The sequence below is a fragment of the Homo sapiens genome, chromosome 16, assembly GCF_000001405.40.
Source record: "Homo sapiens chromosome 16, GRCh38.p14 Primary Assembly".
Classification (NCBI taxonomy): Eukaryota; Metazoa; Chordata; class Mammalia; order Primates; family Hominidae; genus Homo; species Homo sapiens.
Genome location: NC_000016.10, coordinates 15,504,624 through 15,527,737, shown reverse-complemented (window position 1 = coordinate 15,527,737; position 23,114 = coordinate 15,504,624). Strand labels below are relative to the sequence as shown.

The 23,114-nt window shown below is 46.7% G+C and overlaps 2 protein-coding genes and 1 long non-coding RNA gene across 5 annotated transcripts in view, besides 2 other annotated features; 1 reads left to right on the top strand and 2 right to left on the bottom strand.

Annotated features, from left to right (window-relative positions):
- Positions 1 to 23,114, bottom strand: part of MPV17L-BMERB1 (MPV17L-BMERB1 readthrough) — a 192,506-nt gene that overhangs the window by 60,522 nt on the left and 108,870 nt on the right. The window contains exon 2 of the mRNA NM_001414674.1: positions 12,310 to 12,433. Coding sequence (NP_001401603.1) covers positions 12,310 to 12,433 — 124 coding nt within the window. The remainder of the gene's footprint in view (positions 1 to 12,309; positions 12,434 to 23,114) is intronic.
- Positions 1 to 23,114, bottom strand: part of BMERB1 (bMERB domain containing 1) — a 153,672-nt gene that overhangs the window by 60,522 nt on the left and 70,036 nt on the right. For both annotated transcript variants that reach the window (NM_033201.3, NM_001142469.2), the window contains exon 2: positions 12,310 to 12,433. In NM_033201.3, coding sequence (NP_149978.1) covers positions 12,310 to 12,433 — 124 coding nt within the window. The remainder of the gene's footprint in view (positions 1 to 12,309; positions 12,434 to 23,114) is intronic.
- LOC105371102 (uncharacterized) lies at positions 6,727 to 23,018 on the top strand. Of its 2 annotated transcripts, none has more exons than XR_933129.3 (3): positions 6,727 to 6,812; positions 14,310 to 14,428; positions 22,979 to 23,018. It is a non-coding gene; the product is annotated as an uncharacterized LOC105371102 (long non-coding RNA). The 2 variants fall into 2 exon arrangements; XR_933130.3 differs by lacking the exon at positions 22,979 to 23,018 and adding an exon at positions 18,540 to 18,754.
- Positions 13,647 to 13,818: a silencer, noted in NCBI's record as "fragment chr16:15607777-15607948 (GRCh37/hg19 assembly coordinates)". NCBI's record gives its function as "represses an EF-1alpha promoter that drives an FKBP-Casp9 reporter gene in an ReSE screen in phorbol 12-myristate 13-acetate-treated (for megakaryocytic differentiation) K562 erythroleukemia cells {active_cell/tissue: K562(+PMA)}" and the evidence as "EXISTENCE:reporter gene assay evidence [ECO:0000049][PMID:32094911]".
- Positions 17,117 to 17,617: an enhancer, noted in NCBI's record as "H3K27ac hESC enhancer chr16:15603978-15604478 (GRCh37/hg19 assembly coordinates)". NCBI's record gives its function as "activates a minimal SCP1, AML or CMV promoter by ChIP-STARR-seq in naive H9 embryonic stem cells {active_cell/tissue: H9 hESC(naive)}" and the evidence as "EXISTENCE:reporter gene assay evidence [ECO:0000049][PMID:30033119]".

Sequence of the window (23,114 nt, the reverse complement as noted above, 5' to 3'; positions counted from 1 at the left end):
AGACATTTAAGTGGAGATATCAGATACTGTACCTTCCCCTGCCTGTCTTTCTCAGCATTTTCCCCTTAGAAATGTGTGTCCAAAAAGAAAAATACCGTGTGATTCCACTTCTTTTTTTTTTATTTTATTTTTTGAGACGGATTCTCACTCTGTAGCCTGAGCTAGAGTGCAGTGGCACAACCTCAGCTCACTGCAACCTCTGCCTCCAGGTATCAAGTGATTTTCATCCCTCAGCCTCCTGAGTAGCTGGGACTACAGGTGTGCGCCACCACGCCTGGCTAATTTTTGGTATTTTAGTAGAGACAGAGTTTCACCATGTTGCCCAGGGTGGTCTCGAACTCCTGAGCTCAGGCGATCCACCCACCTTGGCCTCCCAAAGTGCTGGGATTACAGGCGTGAGCCACAGCGCCTGGCCTGATTCCTGTTTTATGAAGTATGTAGAGTCATCAAAATCAGAGACAGAAAGCAGAATGCTGGTTACCAGGAGCCAGGGGAAAGGGAAAATGGGGAGTGAGTGTTGAATGGTACAGAGTTTCAGTTTGGGAAGATGAAAAAAATTCTGGGGAGGGATGGTGATGGTTACACACAGTATGAATGTTCTTAATGACATAGAACTGTACTCTTAGAAATGGTTTCAGATAGTAAATATTATATATATTTTGCCACAATTTAAAAAATAGAAGTGTGTGTGCAAACTACATATAAGTGTGCATAAAATGTTTTATTTTTATAGTAAAATTTATATAAAATATACTATAATAATAATAAAATATAATAAAATATGATTTATTATATTTTATTATTATTTACTATTATTTCATACTTCATAGAATTATTATTATATTATTTTTATGGAATAATAAAGCAGTTATTTTCCCAACATCCTACTTAAGTAAAAATCTGTGTGTGACTTTTAGACGGCCCCGTGTGCCCCATTCCCTCATATTTTTCTCATTCCCTCAGAGGTAGGCACTATCACAAACTTGTGGTAATGCTTTTTATTTTTATCATTTACCACCCATATATGAAGCCCGGAACAATTATATTTTTTAGTTTTTTTTTTTTTTTTTTTTTGAGATGCAGTCTCGCTCTGTTGCCCAGGCTGGAGTGCAGTGGCGGGATCTCAGCTCACTGCAACCTCCACCTCCTGGGTTCAAGCGATTCTCCTGCCTCAGCCTCCCGACTAGCTGGGACTACAGGCATACACCACCACACCCAGCTAATTTTTGTATTTTTAGTAGAAACGGGGTTTCGCCGTGTTAGCCAGGATGGTCTCAATCTCCTGAACTTGTGATCCACCCACCTCAGCCTCCCAAAGTGCTGGGATTAGAGGCGTGAGCCACCACGCCCGGCCTATATTTTTTACTTTTATACACTTTATATAAACCTGTTGCTCAACATCTTGTTTTTGAGATGCTTTCATGTTCATACCTGTTGCTCATTCATTTTTCACTGCTGTATAGTATTCTGTGGTACAGCTAGACCACAAACGAGGCAGTTATGAACATTCTGGAACATGCCTCCTGATGCTCATGTGTAGTTTCTCTAGGGCAGTGCTGGTGAATAGAATGTTCTACAACAATAGAAATGTCCTATACAAATGTATGCTTTCCAATAGGGTAGCCACTAGCCATTATTTACTAATGAGTGCTTGAAATATGGCTCAGGCTACCGAGAGACTGAATTTTACATGCTATTTAATTTTAATTAATTTAAACTGAAATAGCCACATGAAGCTACTGGCTAACCAGGGGTAGACCCAGGAGCAAAACTGCAGGTTATAATCACCTGTTCATCTTTACTAGGTAACAATGAACTGTTTTCCAAAGAGATAAGGCCAATTTCCCTATATTTTCATTTTATCCAACTTGCTAGGTCTTTGCTAACCTGATAAACTATCCAAATGAAAATTTCTGAGAATAAAAAGGGCTCTATCAGTCAGGGTTCTCCAGAGAAACAGAACCAATACTACTGAAGAGATTTATTTTATTTGTTTTTTCTTTATTCTTTTCTTTTTTCTTTTTTTTTTTTCTGAGATGGGATCTCACTCTGTTGCCCAGGCTGGAGTGCACTGGCATAATCTTGGCTCACTGCAACCTCCACCTCCCAAGTTCAAGCGATTCTCCTGCCTCGACTTTCCGAGTAGCTGGGACTGAAAGCACACGCCACCACAGCCGGCTAATTTTTGTATTTTTAGTAGAGGCAGGGATTCACCACATTGGCCAGGCTGGTCTCAAAACTCCTGACCTCAAATGATCTGCCCACCTTGGCCTCCCAAAGTGCTGGAATTACAGGCGTGAACCACTGCACCTGGCCTGGAAAAAGATTTATGATAAGGAATTGGCTCATGGGATTTTGGAGGCCAAGAAGTCCCAAGATCTATAGGTGGCAGCTGGAGACCCAGGAGAGCTGACGGTGTTAAGTTCCAGTCCAAAGGCTGGCAGGCTCAAGACCCAAGAAGAGCTGATGTTTCAGTTTGCGTTCAAAGGCCGGAAAAGACCCATGTCCCAGCCCAAGCAATCAGGCAGCAGGAGTTCCCTCCTACTCACCCTTTCTGTTGTAGTCAGGCCTTCAACTGATTGGACGGGGCCCACCCACCTCTACATTAGGGAGGGCAGTCTGCTTTACTCAGTTTACCAATTCAAATGTTAATTTCATCCACCAATGCTCTTGCAGACACATACATCGAAGAATCTTTGGCCAAACATCTGGGAACCCTGTGGCCCACTCAAGTTGATGCATAAAATTGATAATCACCAGGGTCTTACATGGTAATCTCCCTCCCAACCCAATGGAGTCTAGGTGGTTCAGAGGTGGTCCTCTGAGCAGAATGTAATACAGTTCTAGGAAGACGGAACTTCTAGAGAGTATTTTCCTTCTCGAAACTTGTTCTGACCATGAAAGGCAACTCGTAGCAGCAAGAGCTTGTCAAGTACAGAACATTTATTTGATTTATTTATTTTCTTTGACACAGAGTCTCATTCTGTCACCCAGGCTGGAATGCAGTGGCACAATCTTGGCTCATGGAAACCTCTGCCTCCCAGGTTAAAGCAACTCTTGTGCCTCAAGCCTCTCGAGTAGCTGGGATTTCAGGTGCACACCACCATGCCTAGCTAATTTTTTTGTATTTTTAGTAGAGATGGGGTTTTGCCATGTTGGCCAGGCTGGTCTGGAACTCCTGATTTCAGGTGATCCACCTGCCTCAGCCTCCCAAAGTGCTGGGATTACAGGTATGAGCCACTGCGCCCAGACTAACATGTATTTCTCCATTCAATCAACACAGATTCCCACCTTCCTCCCCACCTCCCAGTACATTTAGAAATTCAGGAGGAGGGTCCTTCCATTCAGAAGTCTAGCTTAGAAATTCTCCCTCCTCTCTCCTCCCTTTAGTCTCTCCGTTTCTTCTTCCTTCCTTTCCCTCCCCTACACCCCAACTTCTTGTATATTTTGTCCAAGACAAACTGCTTCTTAGATCTTCTGCAATTAAGGGCATCTCTTCCCATCCGATATGTACAGTGGCCCCGGCAATGGTGACCTGTTCCTGGAAGATGCTATTTAAAACCCTGTGTGCAACTAAAGTGACGCAGAGCTCCTGAATGTGGCTGAAATGTGTCAAGTTACATAAACGCACATGCTTCATTTTGCCCTTGGCTTGAAGCTCTTCCTAACAGACTTCAGAATTATCAGCTCATTAAAGGGGAAAAAATGCAGGTTTATAAAAAAATCTTAAATAATCATCATAATAAAATCAAGGCCCCAGGGTAGAGTTGCACTTAATGGTTGAGAGCCACTCTCAAGAGAGTTGGCACCTCCCAAGAGGGTCTCAAGGAAACCACAGTGAATCCCATCTTCTCTTGGGGAGAGGAATATTTTCTGGGAATTCTCTGGAGACAACCATAAGCAGCCCTGATGCCCTACTCTCCCACGAAGCACAATGTTAACAATGAAAGGAAAGAAGGGAATTTTGAATTGCTTACTACCTAGGAAGGGCCACCCAATTTCATACCTGTGTCTGTTTTCATCCCTTGCTATGATGCTGCAGGGAGATATCACTGTCCCCCTTGTACTGATGGGGAAGCCGAGGCTGAAACAGGACAAAGTATTTGCTCCAGGCCACACAGTTGGTAAGAAGTAGAATTCAAAGCTAGTTGAGAGACCCCACAGCTTGATGACTGAGACCATGGACTCTGTGATATGCAAGAGAGGTGATAGGAAGGGAAGGGCATGGTCGCTTTAAATGCTACAGAAGGAAGGAAGGGAAGTGCTGGGTAGAGGAGGGTGTGGTCCCTGGTAAGGGCTCCACCCCCACGCCTGTGCCCACAGTCCTAGGTGAGGACAGGCATTTTTGTTTTCCTGCCCAAATGTTGCATTTCCCAAGACCACCCTGGCCTGCCATGCCCCCATCCTGTATCTATAAAAACCCCAAGACCCTAGCAGGTGACACACAAGCTGCTGGACGTCAAGAGCTGCAGATCGGCAAAGAAGACACAAGCGTCTGGATGTCAAGAAGACGTCAAGAGGAACACGCTGGCAGAAGAGCACATGACAGATGCTGGCAGGCCATCTACTGGCGGAACAAAGTGGAGTTTGGCCTGGGCAGTCGGAGGAGTGCCCAGGCTGCTGGGCGGCCTGACTCCAGGGGGAAACCTTCCCACTCCATCCCCTTCTGGCTTCCCCCATCTGCTGAGAGCTACCTCCACTCAATAAAACCTTGCTCTCATTCTCCAAGTCCAGGTGTGATCCGATTCTTCTGGTGCACCAAGGCAAGAACCCAGGATACAGAAAGCCCTCTGTCCTTGGGACAACGTAGAGGGTCTAATTGAGCTAGTTAACACAAGCCGCCTATAGATAGCAAAACTAAAAGAGCACCATGTAACACACACACACTGAAGCTTCAGGAGTTGTAAACATCCACCCCTAGACACTGCCGTGGGATCAGATCCCGACAACTGGCCCATCTCTATGGTCCCCTAGAGGTTTGAGCAGCGGGGCACTGAAGAAGCGAGCCACTCCGACATCACACACCCTGCGAGGGGGACAAGGGAACTTTTCCCATTTCATCTGGACTTAGAATGCTATTTCATGGAAACTGTACAACCATGGGCAAGAGACTTGACCTCTCAGTGCCTCAGTTTCCTCATCTATAAAATAAAGGCTATGTGATATTTTCTGCCTGGATGGTGATAGTGAGGATTATATGAATCAAAACAATAAAACACTAGAAAACTAGCCAGCATAGAAAATGTTTTAAAAGAACTGCTATCTACAATGCACACACTTTCCGTGTGTGTGTGTGTGTGTGTGTGGTTTTCAACACAATGCATGCACTATTACCCCATTTTGAATCTCTGCCAGGTTCCCAGGGCCTGTCCTCTTTACCACACTTGGTACCTCTTAATAAAACGAAGTTACTGGATTTCAAGCCCAGGCTCTGGAAATATTGGAACTCAAAGGCTGTGCTCTTGAAATATGTCCTTCGCACGCCTACCTTCCCTGCCTGCTGCAGTTCTGTCTCTGGCTGATTAAAACCTGCTTTTGCCCAGAGCAAGCTGAGTGGCAGGGCATGCTATCCCTTTTTATGAAAATCCAGCAAGCGGGTGTAAAAGGAAGATAACCACACCCCTGCCCCATGTGGAGGCCAAAGATACTTAATTATCTGAAACCCAGATAAACAGCAGGAGCGGGTTGGTAGACTAGATGTGGAAAAGCTGAAGCGAGCCAGAGGGGCTGCAAGAAGAATTATTAAAAACTAATGATGTGATTCAGTGCTGGAAGGAAGGCGAGAAAATGAGTCTGAGGTTGTTGACAGCCTCTGAGAGTTCTTGCCTGCAGTAAGATGGGGGCAGGATGGGTAGGGAGATGGGGTAGCAGTGGGAGGTACTAGGAGGTGGGTGGAACATAGGGTCAAGAAGTGAGAAAACACAGGCGTTTCAAGCATTATCTGCCAGATGTTTGCTGCCTGTTTTCCGGAGGCAGTTTTGTGTTACTGCCCTGTTCCAGTAAAGTTGATAAAATTGCCAAGCCTCAAGAAAGAGATCTCTAAATGCCATTTTGCACATTGGAAACCAGGGGTCAAGCAAAGGGAAGTCAGCAAGGGAACACACACTGGAAATTCAGAGTGAGGAGCACACTCAGAGTTCACACCTGCCTGCTGGGAGCTCACTTATGGCTGGTCTGTGAACTTGACCTCCTGGGCCTGATTCAGGGCAAGTGGGTGTCCTGGGTTGGGGTGGTTCCTGATGCATCTTTCTGTTAGTAAGCATTTGATGTGGGTTATGTGAGCATGTGTGTAAAGGGCTTAGCACAAGCCTAGGTCCACAATAAGGGGTCTGTAAATGCCAACTGTTGTGGGCCTTAAGAGTTATTACGGGAACCGGGTTCTTTTTCTACAGCACATTCCCAGCAGACTGACTTCACAAACTTTGACTGTCTGCATTGGAGCTCATCATTTTGGTCTCTGAAATAAACAGTTTATGTGCAGAGAAATGGTGATACTGAAACACCAGGGGTTTGGTCTAGGTCCTGCTGCTCGCCGCATAGAAAGCCCATCACTGACAAGATGAGTATTGCCAAGGAAGATTTTAATTGCGTGCTGCAGCCAAGGAGATGGGAGCTCAGTCTCAAATCCATCTCCCTGACCAACTAAAACTAGGAGTTTACATAGCAGGGAAGAAATGTAACAATGTATAAGAAAACAGGAACTCGGGAGGAGCAAGGAAGCAATCATGAAGAAAACAGGAACTCGGGAGGAGCAAGGAAGCAATCATGATGAATGAGGGGTCTGGTATCTCATCTCTGGATGTGGTAATCTGGTGAGTTTCAGTTCTTTGATATTTTTTGAGAGGCCTGGGGGTCCCTTCCTGAGGAAATAACTCAGATAAGACAAATGAGGGCTTCAAGCTTTAAGATCAGAAAGGTCAACTTCTGTATTTATCCAAAAGAGTATCTATGGGCCGGGTGCAGTGGCTCATGCCTGTAATCCCAGCACTTTGGGAGGCCAAGGCGGGAGGATCACGAGGTCAGGAGATCGAGACCATCCTGGCTAACACGGTGAAACCCCGTCTCTACTAAAAAATACAAAAAAAAGTTAGCCAGGCGTGGTGGCGGGCGCCTGTAGTCCCAGCTACTCGGGAGGCTGAGGCAGGAGAATGGCGTGAACCCGGGAGGTGGAGCTTGTAGTGAGTCCAGATCGTGCCCCACTGCACTCCAGCCTGGGTGGCAGATCGAGACTCTTGTCTCAAAAAAAAAAAAAAAAAAAAAGAACATCTATGATGGGACTATTGGGTCAGTTTCAATGGTACAGAAAAGTCCAAAGCCTGACTTAGTAAAATCTGTCCAAGTTCCACCACACACAATTCAACATTGCAGAACAAGACAAGACCAAGTGTGGGACTGGGGGCATCTAATCGGGGGTTTGTCCTTGCGTTGTAAAAGAGTAAGGCAAAGAGAAAAGGGGTCCTGGCATTGAGAATAAAGATAACAGAACAGCTTAAGGTTAAGGGCTCTGCCCCCACGAGACAGACACCTTGGGTTCAAATCCTGGTACTACTTTATCCTAGCTGGTGACCTCGAACAAGTCACTTTGCCTCTCCGACCTCAATTTCCTCATTCATAAAATAAAAGAGATAGAACTTACTCTATTGGGGTTCTTGCGAGGACTCAAGAAGCTAAAATTAAGGGGTGAATGCATGCAGGGGACGTAGCACTCAGGGTGGCATATCAGTGCCCGCGGGAAACAGCAACTCTGTGTGCTCCCTCATGTGTCCAAGGTCACAGACCAAGGACGTCAGAGAGCCAGGATGATGACCTCTGATCCCACATCTCCCGAGTTCTCACCATTCCCTGGGAGTAGGGAAATCTCCCTCCTCTTCTTCCTCACTGTCGTGGCAGGAAAAGAGGAAGAACAGGCAGGGGCTGTGGATCTTGGGGGAAAGGACAAGTTAAATCAGCTGAGAAAAAGGAAGCCCATGAAATAATCTAAATGTGAGGGTGCCAGAGCTTTGGGGCTGGGGCAGGCAGTCCCCCCCGGACTCATGCTTAAAAGAGTCAATGCAGGCTGGGTGCAGTGGCTCACACCTGTAATCCCAAGGAGGCCAAGGAGGGCAGATCACTTGAGGCCAGGAGTTCAAGACCAGCCTGGCCAACATGGTGAAACCTTGTCTCTACTAAAAATACAAAAATTAGCTGGGCATGGTGGTGGGCACCTGTAGTCTCAGCTACTTGGAAGGCCGAGGCACAAGAATCGCTTGAACCCAGGAGACGGAGGTTGCAGTGAGCCGAGATCGCACCACTGCACTCCAGCCTGGGCGACAGAGCGAGACTCTGTCACAAGAAATAAAAATAAAAGAGTTAATGCTGCGAGAAGCATTGGAAGTGAGACACATTCTCAACCATGAAATAGGGGCTGACTCACATGGTCTCTGCAGCAGCTGATGGGCATTAAGGTGATTACTTCGCAGCAGGTGTGACAAAACAAATCTCACCGCGGCTATTACACTACGGCCACCGGGAGTCTTTCAGCCCAGGGCTGTCACATTCCTGTCACTTAAAGCTTCCTCGCCTGAGCCTGAAAATGATCAGTAGGGTCTGAAATTTTTTTCTCTCCTACTCTGTGCCAAGAGTGTCTCACGTGTGTGTGTGTGTGTGTGTGTGTGTGTGTGTGTAAGAGGATTGTTGGGGTAAGGATGGAGTGAGAAAGAATAATTTATTGCACATTTGACAAATATTCATGACACTCAGTGCCAGGCATTGTTCCAAATGCTGGGAAGACGTTGTGAGGAAATTGGATAAGGTCTCTGCCCTCATGGAGTTTATAAACTTGAAGGAATTATCTTGGTAGTTTATACTCAAAGCTTCCTTCCTTCCTCCTTTTCTTTCCTCCCTTCCCTCCCTTCCCCTGTCCGCCTCTCCCCTCCCTCTCCCCCTCCCTTCTCTCCCACTCCCTTCCCTCCTTCCCTGATTCACTTAATAAACATTCTGGAGTCAGACTGCATCCTAGCTTGGCTACTTATTAGCTAATGCAGCATCAGGCAAATTTTGTAACCTCCCATTACTTCCCATCCAAAATGGAGATAAGAACAGGACACACTCACAGGATAAGCCCCACAGCTTCGGGAAAAACCATCTCTGAGGAACAGCCAAGAAAGTGAATTCAAGCAGGGCCTTGGCTCAAAGCCTGTTGGCCTGGAGGGCTGAGGATGATGGATGAGGACTTTGTGCAGATCTGAGCATACTGTGTCCTTTGTCCTGGTTGCCTTAGTGTCCACCGTCTATCTCTGAGATTGATGAGGCAGGTGCACCACTGGGCAAGCTACACACCATACAAGGCTGAGCCTGGTTGGGGAGCGTCATCACCATCCAATACTGTCTGTAGGACTCCATTCCAGCAAGACATCTGGGGGCCTGGAAGGGGGTCCCTCCCCTGGAAAATGTCACAGAATCCCTGATCTATGTCCTAACAACACTCAGGTCCTTCTGTATCCTTTAGATAATTTGATTTATCCTAGGGTCTACTGTTGACATTTGTCCCTAAGTGGTCAGATTCATGGGCTAGATGAGGACATTCAATGAGATCACAAGTCAAGAGCTTACTGCAGAGCTGCCTCTTAAGAAATGCTAGTTATTCTTGTCCTTAAGCCTGGGCTAAGTGACAGGCATGTGCACATCCATACACACACACATATCCATACATCCATACCCACATCCACACACGCACACATCCACACCCACACACACATCCACACATGCACACACATCCACACGCACACATACACACCCACATCCACACACACACCCACACATGCACACACACATCCTCACACACACATACACACACACAGATCCACACACACACATCCACACACCCACACACATCCACACACACACATCCACAATACACATATACACACACATCCAGACACCCACATACGAACACCCCCACACACATCCACACATCCACATCCACACACATCCACACACATCCACACAAATATCCACACACACGCGCACACAGTAAAGGTCAGTAAGTGCACAGTGGTAACCATTGTTCCTGCAGCAGCACCATTAGGTAAATAAAAATAAATATATATTTTTAAAATTTTTAATTTGTATTTGTATTTTTAAATTTTTTGTATTTTTGTAGTTTTTTTTTTAAACAAAGGGATCTTGATCTTGATTACTTAAAAGCAAGACTCATGTTCTCTGTCTTCCTTTTATTTTATTATTATTTTGGGATAGTTTCTCTCTGTTGCCCAGACTGGAGTGAAATGGTATAATCTCAGCTCGCTGTAGCCTCCGCCTCCCAGGTTCAAATGATTCTTGTGCCTCAGCCTCCCAAGTAGCTGGGATTATAGGCGCACGCCACCACACGTGGCTAAATTTTTTGTATTTTTACTAGAGACGGGTTTTTGCCCTGTTGGCCAGGCTGGTCTCAAACTCCTGGCCTCAAGTGATCTACCTACCTCCGCCTCTCAAAGTGCTAGGATTATAGATGTGAGCCACCACACCTGGCCTCTCTGTCTTCCTTTTAAAACACAGGGAGGAAAGGATTGTTTCTGAATGCTCACGTATCATTTTAGCTTATTTCCAGACAAAAGGGAAGATATTTCTTAGCCATGAAGTGGAAATGTTCTAGAACCTTCCTCAGAGATGTCTGTGAAAAGGAATTATGCATGGGAAGCATTTAGCTCACGGTCTTGCACATGCAAAGGGCTGGATAAATGACAGCTGTGAATACTGCAGTTCATTTTATGTGGCGAGAGGGAAGGTCATATAACGTCCCAGTGAGAGTATGGGCTTTCAGGAGTTCGAGGCTGCAGTGAGCTATGACGGCCTCACTGCATTCCACCCTGGACGACAGAGCAAGACCCTTTATCTAAATAAGTAACTAAAAATTTATAAAGAAGAGGTGTTTTAAAAGCAGAAAGAGCTGAGTCTGAACCCTAACTCCCCATTTACTAGCTGGGAGGCCTTGGGCAGGCTGTTTCATTTCTTCAAGCCTCAGTCTCCTCATCTGCAAAATGGGATGATCACAGACTCAGCCTCTTGGTGTTGTGAAAAATCAGTGAAAGAATAGGGGAGGGGCCTAGCCTGCCTAAAAGATTTGATGTTCCTGCTGCTTCCAGTGGAGGGTGGGTGGGTGGGTGAGCTGACAGGCAGCGCAGGGAATTTTCCAGCCAGGTTGCCTCTTAACCTCTGGTTTGGTTTGGTTTTGCTTGTAACCTTTCACTGTTTGTCGGCAAAAGCCCAATTTTTAAAAAAACTTTTTCATTTTAATTTGATGTTTTTATATTTTTTGTATTTTTAATTTTTTTCTTTTAGCGACAGGCTCTCACTGTGTCTCCCAGGTTGGAGTGCAATGGTATGATCATAGTTCACTGCAGTCTTGAACCCCTGGGCTAAACCGATCCCCCCACCTCATCCTCCTGAGTAGCTGGGACAAAGGCACACACAGCCACACACAGCTAATTTTATTTTTTGTAGAGACAGGGTCTGGCTACATTGCCCTGTCTGGTCTTGAACTCCTGGGCTCAAGCGATCATCCCGCCTCAGCCTCCCAAAGTGCTGTGATTACAGGTGTGAGCCACTGCACCTGGCCTTAATTTGTGCTTTTTAGAGACAGTGCCTCTCTCTGTCACCCAAGATGGAGTGTGGTGATGCGATCATAGCTCACTGCAGCCTTGAACTCCAGGACTCAAGCAGTCCTCCCACCTCAGCCTCCTGAGTAGCTGGGACCACAGGTGTGCACCACCACACACTCAGAGCCCAACTTTTTAAATGAGAGTTTGTCTTGAAAGACTACCTGCAACTCTTCAGGAATGCTGTGCTCTGTAGATAATGAACGTTCAACCCATGTGACTCTGATGTTGCTAGAGACCCCATCTTGTTATTTTTCCCCATTTTAGAAATGAGGGAACTGAAATTCAGAGAGTCCAAGTAACCTGCCCAAGCTGACAGGCTTAAAAAAAACTCAGGCCTATCTGAGAGCAGAGTGTGCGCTCGTGAAAGACACCAGCACAGGGTACAGCCTCTGCATTCCCTTCCCTCTTTCTTCCCCGTGGGTGATACAGAAAGAACAAAGGTTTTGGAGTCAGATTGGCCTGAATTCAATTCCAACTTCAGGGTCTTGCTTAAAACAGGAGATGACAATATCCACTTCCCTGGGTGGTGGTGAGAATCAAATGAGGCTTTTAAAAACGTGCATAATGCCTTTATCTCAGTGCCTGGCACACAGTAGACGATCAACAAATATTAGGTTTTCCTCTCTCCTCCACACACTTCTTTCCTTGGCCACATCCCCAAAACACTCACATGAACCTGAGCTCAGACTCCCGGCGGACCAAGACTTCCCGGAGACGCTGAATTTTTGCCATCTCCAGCTCAATCTCCTCTGGCATCATGGTTGTCTCCGCCATGGAGATGATGTCCAGCTGATCTGTGCAGGAGACAGGAAATACAACCATCAGGACCCCAAGGCTGCACCATGGGACAGACCCTGACATGGTTCCAGGGCACAGCCTTGCTCTGCGACCATCATACACCTTGAGGACAGACTTCAGCCTGTGCCACAAATGTGTATTCGTGAGCACACCCTTTGGGAACCAGAAAATGTGTTTTCCAAAGTAATTTACTTCGTTTGCTTTGTTTTGTTTTGTTTTTAGACGGAGTCTGGCTCTGTCGCCCAGGCTGGAGTGCGGTGAAGCGATCTCGGCTCACTGCAAGCTCCATCTCCCAGGTTCACGCCATTCTCCTGCCTCAGCCTCCCGAGTAGCTGGGACTACAGGTGCCCGACACCTCGCCTGGCTAATTTGTTGTATATTTTTTAGTAGAGACGGGGTTTACCATGTTAGCCAGGATGGTCTCGATCTCCTGACCTTGTGATCTACCCGCCTCGGCCTCCCAAAGTGCTGGGATTACAGGCGTGAGCCACTGCACCCGGCCTTGTTTTTGTTTTTTGAGACACAGTCCTGCTCTGTTGCCCAGGCTGCAATGCAGTGGTGTGATCTCAATCTCAGCTCACTGCAACCTCTGCCTCTGAGGTTCAGGCGATTCTCCCACCTCAGCCTTATAAGTAGCTGGGATTACAAGTGCACACCACCAGGCCCGGCTAATTTTTGTATTTTTAGTAGTGATGGGGTTTCACCATGTTGGCCAGGCTGACGTCAAGTGATCCGCCCGCCTCAACCTCCCAAAGTGCTGGGATTACAGTCGTGAGGCCACCACGCCTGGCTGGGAACTTTGTTATGATGGCTAGTGGAGGCTCACAAGTGGGCTCACAAAAGCCTGATTAAGGCCTTGTCAGCTCCTGCCTGGTCCCAGATTCTAAGCCTCTGCTCCCCCTGACCACGACCACTTTGCCCTGTGGTCTAAGCCTCTAAGACCAGCCGACTCTAGGCAGAAGAAAGTTTTATCATAATTATCTTATAGTAATACTACTACCAAGTAGTGTTAAGTATTTTTTCATTTGTTTTGGAGACTAGGCCTCACTCTGTCATCCAAGCTGGGGTGCAGTGGTGCAATCATAGCTCACTGCCGCCTCGAACCCTGGGCTCAAGGGACCCTTCCGCCTCAGTCTCCCAAGTAGCTGGAACTACAGGCCCACCTAGGTAACTTTTTAATTTTTATTTTTTTGTAGAGATGGGGGTGTCACTATGTTGCCAAGGTTGGTCTCAAACTCCTGGCCTCAGGCGATCCTCCCAACTTGGCCTCCTGAAGTGCTGGGATTACAAGCGTGAGCATACATACGGATATATAAATATGTGTGTGTATATACATATATGAATATATGTGGTTTTTTATATATATAATATGTGTAATATACACAGACACACTTTTTTTTCTTTTTTGAGACGGAGTCTCGCCCTGTTGCCCAGGCTGGAGTGCAGTGGCACGATCTTGGCTCAATGCAACCTTCACCTCCCGGGTTCGAGTGATTCTCCTGCGTCAGTCTCCCAAGTAGCTGGGATAACAAGTTTATGCCACGACACCCGGCTAATTTTTGTATTTTTCGTTGAGATGGGGTTTCACCATGTTGGCCAGGCTGATCTTGAACTCCTGACCTCATGACCCACCCGCCTCAGCCTCCCAAAGTGCTAGGATTATAGGCATGAGCCACCGCGCCTGGGCAGACACACTTTATAAAGACTGAAAAAGTCCACTAAAATGTTAGCAGTTAAAATGTTAATATATATGCGTGTGAATGTATATTTATACTATTATATGCATATACATATATCCACTGTGATGTAGGTCTTATTTTTCTAATATAAAGTTAGGACCTCACTATTTCGTTATGTGTTCTTTTCACCTAGCAACATGCCTTGAGCGCTCCTGCCTGTCCTTGGATGGTCTTCCTCGGCAGCAGCATGGAAGGCGGGGCGGTTTTCTATTTGTGGCTGTATCACGAAGCACTTAAGCAATCCACAGACATGTAGGTTGTTTCCTATTTTTTCCCCACTGTAATCATGAGGAAAAAAATGTAAGAATTATTTTCACCGTAAGAATGTTCCAGTGAAGAACGTTCTCAAAGTGAAAACTTCGCACACATCTACAGGGTTCCTTCGGGCTATGTTTCTAGGGTGAATGGCTGAGATATAAGTGATGTGCTATTCAAGGCCTTTGATCGGTAGTGGGGGAGACTCGGGGCAGGAGATGTTTTTGGCGTACCCTGAGACACCATCACATCATCTGTATCTGCTAATTCCTTCCACACCCGCCCCCAAGATGGAGCCCACCCCACACCTCAGTTCTACAAGGGCGTCTGTCTTTTTCCTTATACTCAAGGAATAATGAAAGTTGGTATACCTTATACCCATGATTTGGAAAGTTGTTCTCTTTTTCCTTTTTCTCTTTTTTTTTTTTGAGACGGAGTATCCCTCTGTTGCCCAGGCTGGAGTGCAGTGGCACAATATCGGCTCACTGCAACCTCCGCCTCCCGGATTCAAGCAGTTCTCCTGCCTCAGCCTCCTGAGTAGCTTGGGTTACAGGCTCGTGCCACCATGCCCAGCTAATTTTTGTATTTTTAGTAGAGTTGGGGTTTCACCATGTTGGCCAGGCTGGTCTTGAACTCCTGACCTCAAGTGATCAGCCTGCCTTGGCCTCCCATAATGCTGGGATTACAGGTGTGAGCCACCACACCAGGTCTTCTTTTTTCTTTTTGTAGAGATGAGGTCTCGCTATGTGGCCCAGACTGGTCTGGAACTTCTGGCCTCAAGCAATCCTCCTGCCTCAGCCTCCCAAAATGCTGGGATTACTTACAGGTGTGAGTCACTGTGCCCAGAGAAAGTTGTCCTGTTTCTACCTGTCCAACTGCCTTCTATGTCCTGGGGCCCTGGCCCTTGCACACGTGCACAGGGTTTAGGGCGCTGTGATTTGCAGGCTTCCCTGAAGTCAGTCCCTACCTGCTTGGATCTCTAGATAGAACAGCGCCCTCTTCTAGGAGTCCACCTGATGCATTTGTCCACCTGTGGGACTCTCCCGGCCCTGAGTTGTTCAGCAGACGTTGGATTCTCAGTAAATTGGAGTTCCTTTCCATTACCTACCCCGTGATGTGTCCGTTCCATGTGCCAAAATTATCTGCTTCCCCTCCACCAATCAAAACACCTTATTTTGCTAAAGAGACAGAAAGAAGGTAATTCTCTGGAGTTGATTCTCACATTGAAATGAATGGCCTCTCTTCATTCTCTCTGAGACAATTCCCCCTTTTTTTTTTTTTTTTTTTTTTTTTTGAGAGCAAGTCTTGCTCTGTTGCCCAGGCTGGAGCGTGGTGATGCAATCTCTGCTCATTGCAACCTCTGCCTCCCAGGCTCCAGCAATTCTCCTGCCTCAGCCTCCCAAGTATGTGGATCTACAGGCGCATGTCACCACGCCTGGCTAATTTTTTGTATTTTTAGTAGAGACAGGGTTTCGCCATTTTGGCCAGGCTGGTTTTGAACTCCTGACCTCAGGTAATCTGCCAGCCTTGGCTTCCCAAAGTGCTGGGATTACAGGCGCGAGCCACCGTGCCTGGCCTGACAACTCCCAGTTTTCAAGAGAAACAGTAACAAAGGCAATGGAAAAGGCCAAGCAATTATATGGGGAGAGGAAAATATTTGACCTGTCAGTCATCAGCCTATTGAAGATTTTCTCCTCTTTGAGTTCAGCATCTCAGAGCAATGTGTGCTTCTTTTATATTTTCAGGGAGCAACAATACTTCATGAAATAGATAAGTGCAGAACATAAATAGTGCAGAATCTGCTATTGGGTTGGAGAGGGGGTCACTGAACAACTGTATAAGTGGGAGGAAGAGAGTGGAGGTGGGTGAATGGGAAAAACATGAAATTGGAGAGATTCACAATCACCTCCTCCTTGCCTTCTAAAGATGGCGGGTCCCGAAGATTATCTGGCCACCTGGCCGAGCCTCTGCCAGGGAAGGGTGAAAAGGGAGACACAGTGGAGGGAGAGGAGGGAGTGTCAAAGAGAAGCAGGAAGGAGAGAGGTCAGAGGAGCCACCTCAGGCTGTGGCTTGGGGAGAGGGAGCGATGTCTGTTTGCAGAGGATTTGTAGGAAATGTCTCATGTGATGTGCTGCCTAAAGATCTCCTGGGGCCATCTGGTTATGCTTCAAGGCCCCTGGAATCCAATTTCGGGTCCTACTACTGTCCCTGACACCATGCTGTGGTGGCTCCTGGGATTGAAGCAGTGAGGACAGGCTTGAGAAAGGAGGGAAGGAGGGAGGAATAGGATCGAAATATTAATATTGGCTGGGCACGGTGGCTCACGCCTGTAATCCCAGCACTTTGAGAGGCCGAAGCGGGCGGATCACCTGAGGTCAGGAGTTCGAGACCAGTGTGACCAACACGGTGAAATCCAGTCTCTACTAAAAATACAAAACTTAGCCTGGCATGCTGGCAGGTGCCTGTAATCCCAGCTGCTTGGGAGACTGAGGCACGAGAACCACATGAACCTGGGAGGCAGAGGCTGCAGTGAGCCGAGATCATACCACTACACTACAGCCTGAGGGACAGAGTGAGACTACGTCTAAAAAAAAAAAGATAATTAATACTGAGTGCTACTGTGTGCTGTGATGCTACCAAGCTAGAAGACCAGCCTTACCAGATCAGATGGCCTGGGTTTGAGTTCCAGTTCTGCCCCTCCCTGGCTGTGTGGCCTTGGGGAGTTGGTTAACCTCTCAGCAGCTCTGTTTCTCCTCTGTAAGGGAGCCCACCACCCAAAACAGATGTGAGGGATGAATTACCCCGGCACGTCACGTTTAATATATGCTTGCAATTGCCCTCGTTATGACCGCCGCACCTGCTCTGCCCATCACCTCTTTTAATCCTCGCCATAAGCCAGCAAGTTCAGTAGGTTCTCATTTTCGCAAAGAAACAAAGGCTCAGCGCTGGCAAGGGAAAGAGCTGAGTCCAGGTCTGGCTTCAAATTCATGCTTTTTGACCCTCACAGCTGCCTCTGGTCCAGGCAGCTGTTCTAAGTCCGACACCCCCCATTCATTCCTATCTCAGAGTCAAGCGTGGTGCCATAACAATTCATGGCCAGTGGGGAGGCTTAAAACAAAAGGAATTTAATCTCTTGGAGTTCGGGAAGCCAGAAGTCGGAAACCAAGGTGTTGGCAGGGTCACGCGCTCTCCAGAGGCTCTAGGGATGGATCTTTTCTTGGCCCTTGCAGCCCCTGCTGGCTCCTTGGTTTGTAGTATTAGGTTGGTGCAAAAGTAATTACGGTTTTTGCCACTGGATGTAATAGCATCACTTCAACCTCTGCCTCTGTTTTCACAGGTTCTTCCTCCGGGTGGCTCTGTGTGTCTTCTTTTCTGTCTCATTAGATTTAGGGCCCACCCTAATCCAATGTGAGCTCATCTGGATCCTGATCTGAATTACCCCTGCAAAGACCTTATTTCCAAATAAGGTCACATTCTGATGTTTTAAGATGCACATGAACTTCAGGAGGCCACAAACCCACAAGAATGAATGGCCACAGCCTTGCAAGCTTCCTGACAACAATGTCACTCTCTCCAGGGGCTTGAGATCCTGCACACAGAGCACAGCCTTGGCTGGAAGCAGCAGGGGTCCCAGCGGGAGTCACCAGGGGGTGAGGGAAGTGCATGGGGGAAGTGGGGTCTGGCAAAAAACAGCTAGGCGGGGGCAGTGTCAGAAATCCTCATTTGACACTAGTCATCAGCCGCAAGACCTCGAATGAGTCCCTTTATGTCTTTGCGTCACTTTCCTCCTCTGTACAAGAATTCAATAGTTACCTGTGCTGGAGGCTTTCTGTGTATTATCTCATTTAATCTCTATTTTACTGAGATGACTCTGAGGCTTAGAGAAGGAAAGTGACTTGTTCAACATCACACAGCCAGATCATTGCAGAGATAGTATTCAAACCCAGCTTGTGCTCTCTCTCTCCCCCCCCACCCCCCTTCCACTCCACAACCACGTGACCTTAACCACGTAATCCAGCCTCCTGGTGAGGGCTGAATGCATTTGTGCCTGCGAAAGTGCGTAGTTAACCACCCCACGATATGAGTATCCTTGTTTTTCTCATCACAGTTCAGATGGGCAACCTGATTTCCATGGGACAGATGCTGAAAACGGCAACACACCCTGGGGCGAGGCGTGGGACGAAGAGAATTAATCACATCCCAGGAACTGGCATTTTACCTCCATCCCCGGGGGAGGATGGAGGCGGTGGTGCCAGGCTCCAGGTGCTTAGCTTGGATTTGGGGCAAAGAATGGAACAAAGACCTATGTTGAAAAGTCTTGCTCAAGGATGTTTTTCTTCCCCAAGAGAAAGGAACGAAGCCTAAAGCTTGAATCAGATACAAATCGTTAGAATCCTTTCTTGCCATGAGCTGTCTCTGCATCAGGCACTGTGTTGGGCTCATTGTAAACCTCATCTTTTTTTTTTTTTTTTTTTTTTGGTGGGGCAGGGTCTCGCTCTGTCTTCCAGGCTGGATTGCAGTGGCATGATCTTGGCTCACTGCAGCCTCAACCTCCCGGGCTCAAGCAATCCTCTCACTTCAGCCTCCCGAGTAGCTGAAATTACAGGTTCACTCCACCACACCCAGTGACTTTTTTTGTACTATTTGTAGAGATGGGGTTTTGCCATGTTGCCCAGGCTGGTCTCCCAACTCCTGAGCTCAAGTGATCTGCCCATCTCAGCCTCCCAAAGCGCTGGGATTACAGGAATGAATCTCATCTCATTTAGTCTGCACAATACCTTAGGCCAGGGGTTGATACCCTATGGCCAGGGGACCAAGCGCAGCCCCATGCTTGATGTTGTAAGTAGAGTTGTTCTGGACACTGATCACGCTCATTCATTTACATGTCATTTATGGCTGCTTTTGCATTGCAAAAACTGAGTAGTTGCCACAGAGACTCCCTGGCCCACGAAGCCTCAAATATTCACTACCTGGCTCTTTATAGAAAAAGTTGGCCAACCCCTTCCCTGGGTGGTATACTGTAATCTCTCCAGTTTAAAAGTTAGGAAAGCCAGGTTTACCCAGTAACGATAATAACTAACATTTATCGAGCATTTATCACATGCCAGCACCTGTGCATTACCTTATCTGATTCTCAAAACAGCCCTGGGTGGTCAGTGCTGTTATCCCATTTCATAGATGGGGAAGTCGAGGCTCAGGAAAGGGAGTAAGTGATGGAGGTGAGATTTAAAACAAGATCTCTCTTACTCCAAAGCTCTTGTTGTAATCAACCATATTCATGTAAGAACTACCTCCCTACGTAAGTACCATCATCATCATAACAAAACTGAGTAGACTGTATTGCTTTAGACACAGAGGGAGTAGTTATTCCCAGACATCAGTGGGCAAGGTGAATATCTAGGGAGGTTGTTTAAGAAACAATTCCCTGCCTCCACCTCCAAGGATTAGGATAAACCTGGGTTGGGGTGTTGTGTCCAGGGACCTTAATGAAGGAGGTCTTCAGATCAGAGTGAAAAATGCTGATACAGGACCTGAATAAATGAATATCACACACAGTCAGCTTCTTTCCAGTCTGAACTTGTGTGATAGAAATTAGCCTGCTAGACTGTTCCTTTCTTGATCACATTTTCCAACTAGAAGGCAGGCATCCGACAGCTGCCAAGGAATGTCTCCACGAGGAGGACAAATCACGGGAAGAAACGGGAGGAGCATTTCAAGCTGGCTAGAGACAACAAGTCTCTCACGCACACTTCCAAGCAAGAGCTTGCTTGCTGTGTGGAGACAGCAAAGCATGAAGGCACAGACGTCCCCAGGGCTCCAACTGCCACTGCTGTCATTGAGCTTCCAGGAGCTGAGTCACTTCTGGGGGAAGAGGCAGCTAAATCCATCTTCCCATCCCCAAATGCCACCCCAGGGAGATGCATGCTTCCTGAGCGGTGGCACCAGCAAACAAGAGCTGAGCACCCGGGCAGCCCTGGTATGCACCAGCAGGTTTAATCACTGATCTCAAAACAAAACAAAAAGTAAGGCTACCCAGGGACAGGAGTGGTGGAGGTGATAGAGGATGAGGGCTGGTGATCTAAAAACTTCTAGTTTAAATACAAGCTTGGAGGGTTAAACTGCTGGGGACCAGAGAGATACCTTTCCTAGCCCATCTTTTCCAATCAGGGGTCATGGTAGGAATTTAAGCTCAGGGTGCCCTGCACAACCTCTGCCTTTACTTCTGCTTTATAACTTTACGTGCCTAGTACTGGCCCCAGAGCTTGCTCATTTTGGGTGTTTACCGGAGCCATGATCTAGCTCATATCAACCTCTCTTTCTAGATTAATAAAATGAGGCTTAGAGAGGTCATAAGTGATTGGTCAAACTCACTCACTCAATTGTTGCAGCAACATCAAGGGTTCTGTCTAGATCCTGCTACTCGCTGCACAGAAAGCCAATCACTGAGGCAATGAGTATTGCCAGAGAAGGCTTTAATTGGGTGCTGCAGCTGAGGAGATGGAAAGAGACTCAAATCCATCTCCTCAACCCACTAAAATTAGAGGTAGCAAGGAAGAAACGCAACCATGTGTTACATTGTGATACATCCCTATTCTTTTTTTTTTTTTCTGGGAAATTATTAGGAAGGGGTAAGGAAGAGAATCTGGTCAACAGGATGCAGGTGGTTGGTTAGGCAATCGTGATGGTTGAGGAGTCTGGCATCTCATTGTCCACATATAGTGATCTGGTAAATTTCAATTCCTTAATACTATCTGGAAGGCCGAGAGGTCAGTTTCTTGAGAAAGGAACTCAGGTAAAATGAATGTAACTTTCTAAAATTTTAAGATTAGGAGGGGGCTGGGCACAGTGGCTCACGCCTGTAATCCCAGCACTTTGGGAGGCTGAGGCAGGTGGATCACAAGGTCAGATAGAGACCATCTTGGCTAACACGGTGAAACCCTGTCTCTACTAAAAATACAAAAAATTAGCCGGGCGTGGTGGCGGGCACCTGTAGTCCCAGCTACTTGGGAGGCTGAGGCAGGAGAATGGTGTGAACCTGGGAGGCGGAGCTTGTAGTGAGCAGAGATCGCACCGCGGCACTCCAGCCTGGGTGACAGAGCAAGACTCCGTCTCAAAAATAAAAGAAAAAAGAAAAACAAAAGATTAGGAAGGTAAATTTTTGTGTTTATTCAAACAAAACAAAACACCGTAAACATCAGTTCTAAGGGGCAATTGGGGCAGTGCTATAATGAGTGGTAGAAATGAAACTCAAACCCAGATCTATCTGATCCCAATGCCCATGCTCTAAGGTCAAAAGAGCTACAAAACAGTGTTTCCAAAACTCTCAACACTGCATAGAATTTACCCCAGCTACATATTCTGTACTCTGTCATATACCACTCAGTATGTCATGACATTCACTTTTTTTTTTTTTTTTTTGAAACGGCGTCTCGCTCTGTCACCCAGGCTGGAGTGCAGTGGCGTGATCTTGGCTCACTGCAAGCTCTGCCTCCTGAATTCACGCCATTCTCCTGCCTCAGCCTCCCAAGTAGCTGGGACTACAGGCGCCCACCACCACACCAGCCTAATTTTTTGTACTTTTAGTAGAGACGGGTTTCACCATGTTAGCCAGGATGGTCTCGATCTCCTGACCTCATGACCCACCCACCTCGGCCTCCCAAAGTGCTGGGATTACAGGCGTGAGCCACTGCGCTTGGCCGACATTGACTTTTTTTACTCAAACTCCCTAACGGAAATGTCCCATGACATCCACAGACAATAAATGACTCTTACTTGGCATAATTAGAAAATAGCCATGAAAATAAACCTGAGGAAACAAAGCAATACTGTTAAATTCTTGCTAAATACTATAGCCTGCTTAAGGTTCAGAATGAAGCTTGAATTTTCTTTCTTAACAAGGTGAATCAGCAAGTACTAGGGGCATTAAAGACAAAGCTAGCACCAAATTGTGGCTTTCTCCTTTAGGTAATCAAAAAGGTTGATAATTGGGGAGAAAATGCGTAGCTTTCCTGAAGGGAAATTCATTGCTGTTTGATGGTACAAGCATGAAAGTACCACTGGGGGTACCTATCCCATCCCCTGTTGTAGAATAGAATTCCAGTCCTTTGCGTTGGAAAGGTCTTAAACGACGTTTTGGTCAGCCTCATACCTGTGTTGGATAGGATGTAAAATGACTTGGCAAGATGTGGTTCCCAGGGTCCCTCAACAAACGGTTCTCATTCAAACTTCAGTGAGAACTCAAGCTAGAAGGACAATTCTCAGCCATGGGTTAAGTCCTACTCAAAGAGGAATCAGCCATTTTGAGCGATTATTTCAACCCAGCTCATATAACAAAGGCAATTAAATGAAGGGCTGGGGGTGGGGGTGCTATTCATTTCAGTCATTGGAATATACTTGGGTCACAGCCGCTGCATTTAGGGAAGGACATGAGGGACTCAGGTAGGGGGAGTCAGTGTTGGGGGAGAATCAACTTTCACCTAATATGTCCTTTTCTCTTGTTTGGGTTTTTAAATATACTTTTTTTTTTTAATACTTTTATATTTCTAGAAAATGTGGCTGGATGTGGTGGCTCATGTCTGTAATCCCGGAGCTTTGGAAGGCTGAGGGAAGAGGATCACTTGAAGCCATGAGTTTAAGACCAGCCTGGGCAACAGAGCAAGACCCCATCTCTACAAAAATAAAA